Source organism: Homo sapiens, chromosome 17 (genome assembly GCF_000001405.40).
Source record: "Homo sapiens chromosome 17, GRCh38.p14 Primary Assembly".
NCBI lineage: Eukaryota > Metazoa > Chordata > Mammalia > Primates > Hominidae > Homo > Homo sapiens.
The window spans coordinates 79,547,179-79,560,868 of NC_000017.11; the positions used below are offsets into that span (position 1 = coordinate 79,547,179).

The 13,690-nt window shown below is 49.8% G+C and overlaps 1 protein-coding gene across 44 annotated transcripts in view, besides 1 other annotated feature; it reads right to left on the reverse strand.

Annotated features, from left to right (window-relative positions):
• RBFOX3 (RNA binding fox-1 homolog 3) overlaps positions 1–13,690 on the reverse strand; it is a 576,227-nt gene that overhangs the window by 457,834 nt on the left and 104,703 nt on the right. For 2 of the 44 annotated variants that reach the window (NM_001385841.1, NM_001385817.1), the window contains exon 1: positions 9,084–9,306. The exons of the other annotated variants lie outside the window; for them this stretch is intronic. The gene's annotated coding sequence lies outside the window, so the exon portion shown is untranslated. Of the gene's footprint in view, positions 1–9,083; positions 9,307–13,690 lie in introns of those variants that run through there. 44 annotated transcript variants of the gene reach the window in all.
• Positions 1,271–1,770: an enhancer, noted in NCBI's record as "H3K4me1 hESC enhancer chr17:77544533-77545032 (GRCh37/hg19 assembly coordinates)". NCBI's record gives its function as "activates a minimal SCP1, AML or CMV promoter by ChIP-STARR-seq in naive H9 embryonic stem cells {active_cell/tissue: H9 hESC(naive)}" and the evidence as "EXISTENCE:reporter gene assay evidence [ECO:0000049][PMID:30033119]".

The following is a 13,690-nucleotide window of genomic DNA, read 5'->3' on the forward strand; positions in this document are numbered from 1 at the left end:
TCTATTAAAAAATCACTCACGCCACTTTTGGAGGCCGAGGCAGGTGGATCACGAGGTCAAGAGTTTGAGACCAGCCTGACCAACACGGTGAAACTCCGTCTCTACTAAAACTACAAAAATTAGCCAGGCGTGGTGGCATGGTGGCGCACGCCTGTAATCCCAGCTACTCGGGAGGCCGAGGCAGGAGAATTGCTTGAATCCCAGAGGCGGAGGTTGCAGTGAGCCAAGATTGCACCACAGCACTCCAGCCTGGGTGACTGAGCAAGACTCCATCTCGAAACAAAAACAAAAACAAAAAAACTGTTGCTTGTGGAAGGGACAAAGAGACCAAGAATAGGAACTTCAGGAGCCAAATCCCCAGACAAGCCCTCCTGAACCCTCTCTCCTCAGAACTGGAGCTGAGTCCACTCACCCAAACAAACACACACCCCCAGCACACATGAGAATTGTGTGTGCTTCACTTTCGGGGAACATCCACTGGGGAGAAGAGACCACAGCATGTACCACACCCAGTCCAGGGGCTGCCGTCCAGCACCTGCGGAGACCAGTGGAGCAGGCTGGGGGAGGACGCGGGACTTTAGGGGGCAGCAGGCAGGGGCCACACCACAGCCCCTCTCCCTGGACAAGGCTTGGGTTGGGTACCTGGGCTGTACTCGCACCCACACCGATTCACAGCCTTAGCCAACATCCCGGCACCCCAGTGAAGGACTCGGACCTCCAGCCCTTCAGTGGGCTGAGCAGCCAGTGGGTTCATCTGATGGAGGCCCTGCCGAGGGCTGGCCATCCCCTGACCTCCTGGGAGAGGACCAGCTTCCCTCCTCACCCTATCCTGGACTACTCTGAACATTTCTTTTCCTGTCTCCACCCATTTCCTCAAATATTATGGAAAAATCAAGTTCCCAGGCAGAGTTTCCACTCAGGTCTAGTGTCTTCTACCTGGGAACCTCGCCCAGTGCGGCACGGGCTGTGCCTCCCTTAAAGAAAGGGCGGCAGGTAGGGGCGGGCACAGCTCCTGGTGCCCCCAGCTCCTGCTCCGCTCCCGGAGTCCACCCAGGAGGGCCCAGCCTGGCTCACAGCAGAGTTTCAGAGGCCACCAGAGCACTGGGGTCTCGGGCCTGAGGCTGCCCTCTCTGGACACACCCCCACCTCACCCATGTGCTCCTGGAACAGAAGGGCTGGCTTGCATCTGTGACTCCCGAGGCTCGGAGGTCCAAGTCAGCGTCCTGCCTGTGGGGAGGACAGCAGCCCCCATCTTCTCCAAAGGGCCTGGCAGCCCCGTGGCACGGCTGCCACCACCCCCAAAGCCTGTGCACTTTATTTCTGCAGGAAGCGCAGCTGTGCCCAGGATGGTGGTATGAACTAAGAGGCTGTCTCAGGAGGTCCGAGAAGTGCAGCTCTTGAGGCAGCATCAGATGCTGGAGAGGGGCCCAGCTCAGGCCTCAGTTTCTCCAGCTGTAAATCAGGGGACATTCCAGCCTGTCCAGGCAATGCAGCCCACTGCCACAAGACACTCACTAAGTGGAGAACAGCCTGCTACCATCTCTACAGGGGTGTGCGTGTCCTTGGGCATGCGTTGCATGTACTGCTGTAGCCCCAGTGCCTGCTTCAGGACCCGGCATACAAGTGCTCGAAAAATACCTGCAGAATGAATATATGACAGCTACCTTGTGGCATTTTATTTTATCCTCATAAAAAGCCTGCAAGCTAGCAAGTGCCATCACTCCCTCGCTAGATACCATGGTAATTGTTGCAGTAACAAATCCATATTGACTGTAAGGCACTTTGCTGGCATAATCTCATGCCTTCCTCTTCTCCAGGCTGTGAGGTGGTGGAATTGTGGTCACTAGTTTGCAGATGAAGAAACTGAGGCTCGGGATGGGCAGATGCACTGACCAAGGTCCCTTGTCCCCAGGGCAGAGCAAACACCAGTTATAACCAGGCCAGGCTTTGTCTGCCCTTCCAGGAAGGCTAGGGAAAGCCTTGCCAGCAAGTGACAGCCACACAGCCTCAAGATTTTCATGAGTCTCTCTGGGCTCTGCCAGGCACAAGCTGGCCTTACTTTGAAGTCCTAAGGGAGGTTGGCGGGGCTCAGCCTGCAGGTAGGAGCCTACAGCAGAGAAGCTCCGCCCCCTGGCTGGTCCCAGCCCACTCCTCTGGGGCTCATCCGTCCGGCACAACCCCAGGAATGAGCAGATGGCCTCCCTTTTTCCACTAGAGACAGGGAGAGGGATGCAGCTCCATAGTAATTAGAGCCAACTGCAGCTTTGAGGCGGCAAAGCTAATGTTTCTGCAGAGACGTGAGAGCAAGTGAATCTGATACCAGGGTTAGAGAACCAAAAACATCTTTAAGGATCATAACAATGATTTGTGTCTGTGTCAAAGTGGGGTGGTGATTCCAGCCTCCCACCCAAAGCGGGGCTCTGGGGACACCCAGGATGATGGGGGCCCTCAGTGGGGCAGGCCTGAGGCCTTCCTGTGGGCACTGGGGAAGGAGACAAAGGAAGGCACAGCAGGTGCTGCTCCCCAGTGTGAGCCTCATGCCCTGTCCCTCTGGGAAAGGAATCTGACTGTCACCATGGGGCCAAATATCACAATGGAGAGGGCTCAGCAGCTGTGGTCACAGGCCTCAGCCTGGTCAGAGCTAACGTTCAATCAAGAATGTCGAATCGTCATAAAAAGTGAGAAAACTCCAGGCTTTAGTGATATGATGGATGAAGCAGTTTACCTAAAAAACCTTCATGTTCTGGGAAGACCACACACACCAAAAAAAAACGTGGACAGCTAACTTGTAGGGCAGGACGTGGGCATGCTGACCAGCCGTGCCGGGCACCATCCAGAGCTCTCACGCATCCCTGAGTCAATTGCTCCCTGTTGGGACCATCTTCCTCCATTTTCTGAGGTCTACACCGGGACAACTTCCCCAGCCAGGGCCCTGTCAGGCCTGTGAACCTGAACACAAATAGGAGAGGTCAGGCAGGAACACAGGGACTTGGGGAAAAAGAGCACTGAGCCCAGGGAAACAAGAGGGCCCGAGGGCATCCCAGCTCCCAGGGGCATCACCCTCAAAGCTTATGTAGCTTTGATGTAAAAGGGGCAGCTCCATGAAGCCAGACCTGTTCCATGGGAGCCAGTGTATTAACCAGCTCAGGCAGGAGAAATCATGGAATTGAGAGATTACGGTGCAAGGAAGGCTAAACTGGTACAGTAAAAGGGGGCCCAGACATCAGGGAGAAAGTCCAGATGCAGGTCCACAAGCTCATGGTAAGGAAGTACATCACACACACACGTCTAGTACCCAAGCCTGGGATGGAGGACACATAGACCATTCTATGGTTTATTTAATAAGTATTTTTCAAAGTACCACTACATGCTATAATCATTTACGGAATGACGGAATGACAAAATGACTAAGTGGATGAATAGATGGATGAGTGGACAGATGATGGGTGGATAGATGGGTGGGCAGATGGAAGAATAGATGGATTAAAAGACGGATGGATAGGTAGGTGGATGGGTAGATGGATGAGTGGATGGAAGGATGGATGAGTGGATGGAAGAATGGATAAGCGGATAGGTGGCTGTGTGGATGAATGCGTGGGTGGGTGGATGGATGGATGGTCAGTGAGTGGGTTGATTTATGGACAGACAGCTGGATGATACTCTGTTGAAATAAATGGAAGCAAATGGACAGAAATAATTTGACTTTGCAATTCAAAAATTCTCAAAATCTAGGACTTGGTATATTCTACATCAGTGCCATCCAATAGAACTTTCTGTGAGGACAAGAATGCTTTATACCTGCACTGTCCAGTGTGGTAGCCGCTAGCCCCATGTGGCTACTGAACACTTGAAATGTAACTAGTATATCTGAACAAAAGAAATTTTATTTAAATAGTCGCATGCAACTAGTAGTTGCTGCATTGAACAGAACAGTTCTAGAGTTTTTCAACACACCTTGCTGGTACTTCCTGGGAGGCCCTTGGGAATCCAGGCTATGCAAGGCCAGTTAGAAGAGATGACTCTGTGAGAAGCTGACACCAACATGAGCAGGGCGATTCCCCTCTCCCCCAGCCCCTGGTTTCTGCTGAACAAGAAGGGAACTTGCAAAGCCAGGGGCTAGGAAAATGCTTTTCAACTTTAACATGTAGTATAATTTGGATATTTGTCCCCTCCAAATCTCATGTTGAAATGCAATCCCCAATGTTGGAGGTGGGGCCTGGTGGAATAAGTGGATGGATGGGTGGATAGATGGGTCGGTGGATGGATGCCTGGTTGAATAGGTAGATGGATGAAAAGATGGGTGGATGGACGGGTGGGTGGATGGACGGGTAGGTGGATGGGTGGATGGATGGACGGGTGGGTGGGTGGATGGATGGGCAGATGGAAGGTGGATAGATAGGTAGGTGGATCCCTCATGAACGTCTTGGTGCCATCCTCCATTTGGGTCATGGGGGCGGATCCCTCATGAATGGCTTGGTGCCAACCTCCTGGTAACAAGTGAGTTCTTGCTCTGTGAGTTCACATGAGATGTGGCTGTTTAAAAGAGCCTGGAACTTTCTCCTCATGGTCTTGCTTCCTCTCTCACCATGTGACACTCTGGCTCCCCTTCACCTTCCGCTGTGATTGTAAGCTTCTTGCAGCCCTCACTAGAAACAGATGCCAACACTACGCTTCATGTACAGCCTGCTCATGGCCAAATAAACCTCTGTTCTTTATAAATTACTCAGCCTCGAGTATTCCTTTAGAGCAATGCAAATGGACTAATATAATATGCATACAAAGCACCCAAAAATTTTGTTTAAAATGCAGATCCTAAAATTCAGTAGGCATAGGGGAGGACTCAAACATTTGTATTTCTAATAAGCCCTTACATGATGCTGACGTTGGTCCAAGGACAATATTTTGAACAATAAGAGTTTTGGAGGCTTTCCATTCCAGAAAAACAAGGTTTTGTGGGTAGCAGAATGGAAAGACCCTAGAAGACCAAGATTAAATACAGAGAATATGGCATAGTAAAAGAAAAATTCAAATCTTCAAAATTTGATAATTTAAACAAATTAATGTATTGAAACCTTACTATAGGCCTGTATGCTATGGAAAATGCAGGGAGCTTCTGAGCTAGTTTAGGTTGCAAAATAAACACATGAAAAGTTAAACAATAAATGACTTAAAATAATGGCTTAAACATCACACATCAGCAAAGCCTTTCATGGCCCCCACTCTTCACACTGCAACCTCACCCTGACTCCTCTCCCAGCAGCATAATTTGCCATAAGAATATCATTATCTAAGTTACAACACAATTTTCTTATTCGTTTCCCACCTAGAATGCAAGCTCCAGTGGGGAAGGAATTTCTATCTGTTTTGTTCACTGTTGTATCACCAGGGCCTGAACAGGGCCTGGTGTATGGAAAGCGCTCAAGTCAGCAAATATTTCTTGAATTATAATGATTCCATTGTAATTCAAGAAATATTTGCTGACTTTAAGGCTTGGCTCCATTTGGAGTTTATCGAGGTGTAAAAAATGTTCTTCAGGATTCTTAAGTTTTTTGCACATGCATTTTGCACATTTCTTGTTAAGTTTATTCCTAGATATTTTATTTTTGTTATCATAAATAGGGGCCTTTTCTCCCATTATATTACTGTTGTAAGACAGATACATATATACATATGGACATGCATACATGCATACATAGGATTACCTTGTTGGTTGTAGTAGTTTTTCATGGATTCTCTAGGATTTTCCAAGTATACAATTATATCATCTAAAAAAGGGTAATACTTTTAGCCCCTCCTTTCCAATATTTATTCTTCTCATTTCTTTTCTTGTCTGATTGCATTGGCTAATGCTTCTGCTACAATATGAAATAGTAGTAGCAAGAGTAGGCATCCTTGCTTTTTTCTTAACTTCAGTGTTTCCACATTAAGAAAAAAATGAGTTTTGAATATGATTACAGTCACGTTAAGAAAGTATCAATTTATGTTTTGCTGAATGTTTATCAAGAATGGATGCTGAATTTTGTTAATGCTTTTTCAGTGTTAAAAAAGATAATCGTGTGTTAATTCTCTTTATATTAATATGATGCATTATATAAACAGATTTCTTCCTATTAAACCATTCTTGCATTGCTAGAATAAACTCCAAGTAAACACAGGGTATTATTATTTTAAGATGATGCTTGGATCCTATTTGGTAATCTGTTATTTAAATTTTTGCATTGATATTTATAAGTGAGACTGGCCTGTAGTTTTATTTTTGTACAATATTTGTCAGGTAAAAAAAATTTTATTCTCACTTTAGGAAAATTACTTAGACTTTTTCTTCTTTATCTTTGCTGTGGAACACTTTAATTAGCATTGGAAGCACCTGCTCTTTAAAGGTTTTGTTCAAATTCCCCTGTGGAACCATTCAGACCACAAGCTTTGTGTGAGAGTAGCTTAGAAACTTTCTATCTTCCATACAAATTGATCAGTTTGGTAAATTATATTTCTCCCTTATTATTCCTCATTATGTGTTCCTTGGGTTTTCTTGGGGTTTTTTTGTTTGTTTGTTTTCGTTTTTGAGACAGAGTCTCTCTCTCTCTCTCTCTGTTGCCCAGGCTGGAGTGCAGTGGTGCGATCTTGGCTCACCACAACCTCTGCCTCCTGGGTGCAAGCGATTCTCCTGCCTCAGCCTCCCAAGTAGCTGGGATTATAGGCACCCACCACCACATCCTGGCTAATTTTTGTATTTTTAGTAGAGATAGGGTTTCACCACGTTGGCCAGATTGGTCTCAAATTCCCAACCTCAGGCAATCCACCCGCCTCGGCCTCCCAAAATGCTGGGATTACAGGCGTGAGCCACTGTGCCTGGCTGCTTTCTTGACTTCTAACCTTGACTATGTTTGTTAGTGGTTCATCTAACTTTTTCCAGAAAACAGCTTTTATTTACTAGTCCCATTTTTCTATTTTGTGGCCCATTATTATTATATTAGTTCATTAATGGCTTCCTTCTACTTTTCTTCAGTGCATTATTTTTTGTCCTTTTTCTAACTTTTTTGAATCATAAGCTTAACTGAGTTACTTTTGTTCTCTCATTTTTATTGGCTGTGAATTTAAGGCTGTGCATCCTCTCCATCCTCACTCACAGTCACCCCTCACCTGGCCCTCTCCATCCTCACTCACAGTCACCCCTCACCTGGCCCTCTCCATCCTCACTCACAGTCACCCCTCACCTGGCCCTCTCCATCCTCACTCACAGTCACCCCTCACCTGGCCCTCTCCATCTTCACTCACAGTCACCCCTCACCTGGCCCTCTCCATCTTCACTCACAGTCACCCCCGACCTGGCCCTGCTGGCCCTTTCTTCGTGGGTGCTTCGCACCCCGCTGTGAGCCTGACTTCATTGTGCTGTGCTGTTTCCACTTTGCCTTCCCCAGCAGGCTGGGCTCCTAGGAGGTGGGGACCACGTCCTGCTCAGTTCTGGATGTCTAGCACCTAACACAGGGTCTCACACATGGAAGGTTTTCAATATACATTTGTGGGAAAAATTACAGGGTGGATAGTAATTTTGATGTAATATACAATCATTATAACTCTAAAACCAATATTTGAATATTAATTCTATTCCAGGCTCTGTGTTAGGTTCTGATGAGCATAACTTTTTTAATCCTCAGACACCACCATGAGGTGGGGTTTCCTCTCCCTCTTTTATGGAATAGAAGACCCGGGCTTAGAGAAGCTAAAGACTTCTCCAAACCATAGAACATCAACGGACAGAACTCAGCCTCATGAACAGCTAAAATGTACAGTCACAAAAAGCAAAGGAAACCAGCCTGAGGGGAACAAAGAGGGTCCACAGGGCAGGGCAGCCAGAACACAGGCTTGAGTGTCAGGCAGACTTGAGTTGGAATCAGATCTGCCACCACTAGCTGTGGGACCCAAGGCAAATAGTTTCTCTGTGCCTCAGATGTTTCACCTGTGAAATAGGGAGAAGAGTATCCATATCCCCAATGGATGACTGTAAAAATCACATGGGTGATAGCTATCACATACCCAGCACAATGCCTGGCCCATGGTAAGCACTCGGGAAGTGGTGATAGTGATGGCCATGGTGGTGGTGGTAGTGGTGGTGATGGTGGTGATGATGGTAGTTGTGGTGGTGGTGATGGTGGTGATGATGGTAGTTGTGGTGGTGGTGATGGTGGTGATGATGGTAGTTGTGGTGGTGGTGATGGTGGTGATGATGGTAGTTGTGGTGGTGGTGATGGTGGTGATGATGGTAGTTGTGGTGGTAGTGATGATGATGATGACAATGATAATGGTGGTGATGACAGTGGTGGTGGTGGTGGTGATGGTGGTGGTGATGGTAGTTGTGGTGGTGGTGATGGTGGTGATGATGGTAGTTGTGGTGGTAGTGATGATGATGATGACAATGATAATGGTGGTGATGGCGGTGGTGGTGGTAATGGTGATTATGTCAGTGATGGTGGTGGTGGTGGTGGTGATGGTGATGATAGTCATGATGGTGGTGATGGTGGTGATAGTGGTGGCAATGGTGATGATGGCAGTGATGGTGATTATGATAGTAGTGGTGGTGGTGATGGCGATGGTAATGGTGATAATGGCAGTGATGGTGATGACGGTGGTGATGGTGACGATGATGATAGTAATGATGGTGGTGATGGTAACGGTGGTGATGATGATGATAGTGGTGATGGTGGTGGTAGAAGGCAGTGGCAGCAGCAATGGTGTTGGCAACAATGACAACAATTACATTATCCCAGAACTCCAACTACAACAATGTCACCAAAACCCAATACCATACAGTGAAGACAGGCCCCATTGGAAAGATGAATCAATGCCCACAGAGCAAAAGAAATGGAAGATTCTAGAATGTCAGAGCGGGAAAGCATACTTGCAATCATCCAGACGCAATTCCTCCACTTTACAGACGGGGAAGCAAAGACCAGGATCAGGAGAGCAGTTTACCCAAGGTCTCACACCTGCTACCAGCCAGGCCTAGAGAAGACCAAGTTTTCCAAACCAAGCTGGTCTCCACTCCTCCCTCCCTGCTGACCCCTCAAACACCAGTGAGCACTTACTCTGGGCAGGGCACTGGCTTAGGTCCTGGGAACCCAAAGAAATGAATACAGGAAGGGGACGTCAGGACATAAGGCAAAATAGACAGCAGTTCCATTCGGTGGCAGGAGGAGGAGTGCCCGTGTGGCTCCGTAAAGCATTTGAAGGGCCGAGGAGGGGACAGACCATGCTGGAAACAGGGTTGATGGAGGTAGCTCTGCCCAGGCCGCCCACAGGAAGGCTTACAGGGAGCTGTTGGGGAGGAAGTGTTGATTTTAACACAAATGAGCGACAGGAGGAGGAGCTGTAACCACATCCAGAGTGGGTGGGGAGAGGAAATCAAGTACACAAATTAGGGCTGATGTGAAATTAACGGCTACTTAAAAGACTCGAACTAATTTAATAACTTTGTCAGTAATGAAAATATATGAACTAGGAAGAAAAGACGGGCAAAATATTTACTGGCAAAAGGCAAAATAAGCAAATATCTGAGAAGGCAGCACATCTATCAACGTCTTGAGATGGCAAAATTCCTAGGAAGGGAGGGACTTTCTGGAGGCACAGAGTCCACCGAAGGGGAGCGTGGGGAAGGGGACAGAATCAAGGACTCCTCACTAGCAGGGGTTGCTGCTGCCCAGGGGTTCACCCTGTGTCCAGCTGGTGCTCAGGGCTTTCCACGTCTGTCTCCATGGTCCCCAAAGAACTCTACTGAGAAACTGACAAGGCTAGTCATGGTGGCTCATGCCTATAATTCCAGCACTTTGGGAGGCCGAGGATGGTGGATCATTTGAGGTCAGGAGTTCAAGACCAGCCTGGGCAACATGGTGAAACTCCATCTTTACCAAAAAATATAAAAATTAGCCAGGCATGGTGGTGGACACCTGTAATCCCAGCTACTCGGGAGGCTGAAGCAGGAGGCAGAGGTTGCAATGAGCCGAGGTCGCACCACTGCACTCCAGCCTGGGTGACAGAGTGAGACACTGTCTCAAAAAAAAAAAAAAAAAAAAAAAAGGAAAGGAAAGGAAAGAAATTGCCCAGAGAATGAGCAGGTAGCCTGGAATTCCAATCCAGGCAGTGTGGCCCCAGGCCCTGGACTGTTAGTCTCTATCTGGTCTGTTACCCCTGCCCACCCACCCAGCCATGGAGAAGCCAACAAGGGCCACCCTCCAAACCCCGAGAAAACCCAAGTCCAGTCTACTCACAGCCAAGCCCCCATCCCACAGCTGCAGTCTCTGAGATGATGGAACATTTCCAAAGAGACCACGTCTGGGGCCGTGGGAGCCCGGCGGTGGTGGGGGGAAAGGGGGGAAGAGTGGCAAGGACCAAGTGACAGCTGCGGATCCCCAGCCCATTTTCATAGGTGCCACCAAATTAGCGGCTGTTGGTGAGGCCGAAGAAACGAGTCTGAAGAAATGTTCTGTGTGAAATTGGACTAGATTGGCTCTGGTATCAACACAGGCACAGGCTGAGGGAGGCTGGACAGCCATAAACAAAGGCTAACGGCAGATGTCAGCGTATCGGGCAGGCGGGGGCATCTCGTGGGAGGCCTCCTGGGCCACTGCAAGGCCCCAGTTTTGTTTAATATCCAAGCTAATGATCTGGAAGACAACAGACAGGTCACGAGCAAAACCTGCCGAGGACGCAGGGGGTGGCGCTGCGGTTGTTTGCTGGGGCAAGGGGACGGCCGGGAGACAGAGGAGACCTGGAGGGAAGATAAGTAGCTCCCAAGTAAATTGAGATTCAGCTTGAAGAAAAATTACAAACACTCAAATCTAAGAGGAGAAAAAAGCAGCCTGAAACTGCTATTTTCTGAGCCGAGGAAACCCAGGAAGCAGGGAGAGGGGACAGACTCAGATCATCACGAGGTCCATCGCAGACCAGCTTGTGATGTCACACGGGGAGGGTGATTTGTGTTTTGTTCACTGTTTGGGGGCAGGAAAGACATACCCTCAGAGGAGCTGAGAGGGCCACGTGGCCCAGGCCCAGGGATCTACCTGGGTGGCCGCCTTTGCTCTGAGGGGCCTGGCGCAGGAGCAGGAAGGAAAATTGGAGTTCAGAAAAATATTTGCTAACACAGAGAGAGTGAGAGCCAGGATCTCCCGCCCTGTGTGCATGAGAGCCAACCCAGTGTCTGGTGACTGGCAGACAGCAGGGAACCGTCCGGAGGGTCCAGGCGCAGAGACCGGCTGGGGGCAGCTGAGGGGCGGGGCTGAGGGCCCCAGGGTGCTGGCGGATGGGGAGGATCTTCCAAAGCAGAAACACCAGGGCCCACACTTCCCGGCTGCCCAGGAGGGAGGCAAGACCACAGTCAGGACCAGCCCTCCAAGGTGGCTTCGGGCCCCTGAACACTTCCCTCCCGGCCGGGCTCCATGCACTCACTGCTTGAGAGGAAACCAAAATTGTCAGCCCGGACACATTTGGAAATTTACTGGAGCAGCCTTCCCCTGCCTTGCGGGGATTGGGTTAGTCAACCTGTTAACCACATATTCTCACCACCCACAGTGCGCGGAGGCTGCGTGGGCCTGCGGGGAGCAGGAGGGAGAGAGGAGGGACCGAGGCCAGCTGCACAAGAAGGACATTGACAATGGTGGGGGGTGTGCCAGGGGATGCAGGGCCAGCATGGAGGGCACAGAGAGGCTTGCTAAGGAGCAGGACCCCTGTGGCCCAGAGGCTGTGTGGATTCAACGTGGGCAGGTGCCCTCACATAGCAAGCATTTACCAGGCATTGTCCATGCCAGGTGCTCAGCTGAGGGGCAGCAGCTGGACTCCTGAGAGTCCCCACCAGGAGACCCTGGGAGCCCTGGCCAGGCTGGTCTCGGGCCTGGGAACCTCAGTCTTACACGGGCAGCAGCACTGATGACCTCACAATCTAGCACATTAATTGTTCTCACTGGAATAGAGCTCCCTGAGGATGGGAGGGGCGGGGGTTGTCTGTCTTTTTTTCCCATGATTGTCTTACTGGTGCCTAAAATAATACCTAGCATGCATTAAGTGCTTACTAATTATTTATAGAATGGATGGATGGGTAGATGGCAAATGGTGGGTCATGGTGGGTGGTGAGTGGGTGGTGGATGGTAGATAGGTGAGTGGCAGTTGAGGTGGATGGTGGATAGTGAATGGGTGGATGGGATGGATGATTGGATGGATGGGTGGATAAGTGAATGGGTGAATGGTAAGTGGTGGGTGGTGGATGGGTGGATAGTAGATGGGTAGGTGGATGGTGACTGATGGATACTGCATGATGGATGGGTAGGTGGTGGATTTTGTATGGGTGGATAGTGGATGGTGAATAGGTGGATGGGTGGATAGATGAATGGTGGGTGGACAGATGGGTGAGTGGGTGGGGGGGTGGATGGAGAGTGATGAGTGAATAGGTAGATGGATGGATGGGTGGATGGTGAATAGTGGATGGGTGGATGGATGGGTGGGTGGGTGGATGGATGAGTGGGTCGGTGGGTGGATGGATGGGTGGATGATGGGTGGTGGATGGATGGGTGAATGAATGGGTAGATGGATGGATGGGTGGATGGTGAATAGTGGATGGATGGGTAGGTGGGTGGATGGATGAACAGATGGGTGGGTGGATGTTAGGTGGTGAATGAATGGGTGGATGGATGGATGGGTAGATGGTGAATAGTGGATGGTGGGTAGGTGGATGGGTGGGTGGGTGAGTGGATGAATAGATGGGTGGGTGGGTAGGTGGATGGTCGGTGGTGAATGAATGGGTGGATAGATGGATGGGTGGATGGTGAACAGTGGATGGGTGGAAGGATGGGTGGGTGGGTGTATGGATGAATGAATGGGTGGGTGGATGAATAGGTGGGTGGGTGGGTGGTGGGTGGATGGATCTTGTGACACCCCGTTGCATCTTCAGCAACTCCTAGAAAATCAGGTCCAAAGTAACAGCCTCCCCCACCCACCGTCAATCTCCATCCCAGCCCCAAAAGACTGAGTGTAGAAGTGACTGGGCTGAAATGGTTGCTGGGTGGTCACCGAGCCAGAGCAAAGCACAGGGAAAGGCTGAGGGAGACCCGAAAAGCCTAAGAATGCCCAGCTCTCACATACACAGGGATACTTTGCGAACTGCAGAGCAGAGAACCCATGCAGGTATTCATGCTTCATTCGCCATCCCACTGCAAATGAAGTGCCCTCCCTGTCCTGCTGGCGGAAGGTGTGAGAGGGCAACCACTTTACTTCTCCTTGACTGTAGCCTCAGGACCAGTCAGAACAGGTACTCAAGAAACAGCAATTTCATTTTTATGTTTACCAGGACGGTGGGCACCTAATGAGCAGCTACTGCCCACCCGACCATGGCGTGTCCAGGAACATTGAAGAATACGCACTCCAGGGATCATGGGGTTCAGTGACTTATGTTCCAGCACCAACTCCCCACATCTAAGCCTGCCAGCCAGTGCTGTCACAGCAACCTCACCTCACCACAGCCAGAACACTCGTGGCGGGAAGCCGTTCAGTCTCCATCCACAGATGCCCCCACCCACTTCCCCACCCATGACAGCACGGCCAGCGCGAGAGCTGCAGCTGCAGGTGCTTCCCGAGCTTCAGCCTGTCACTGGGTGGCATGCGGAGGACTTCACCTGCGTCCTCTCCTTTTCTCAGCTGCCCCAGGGGG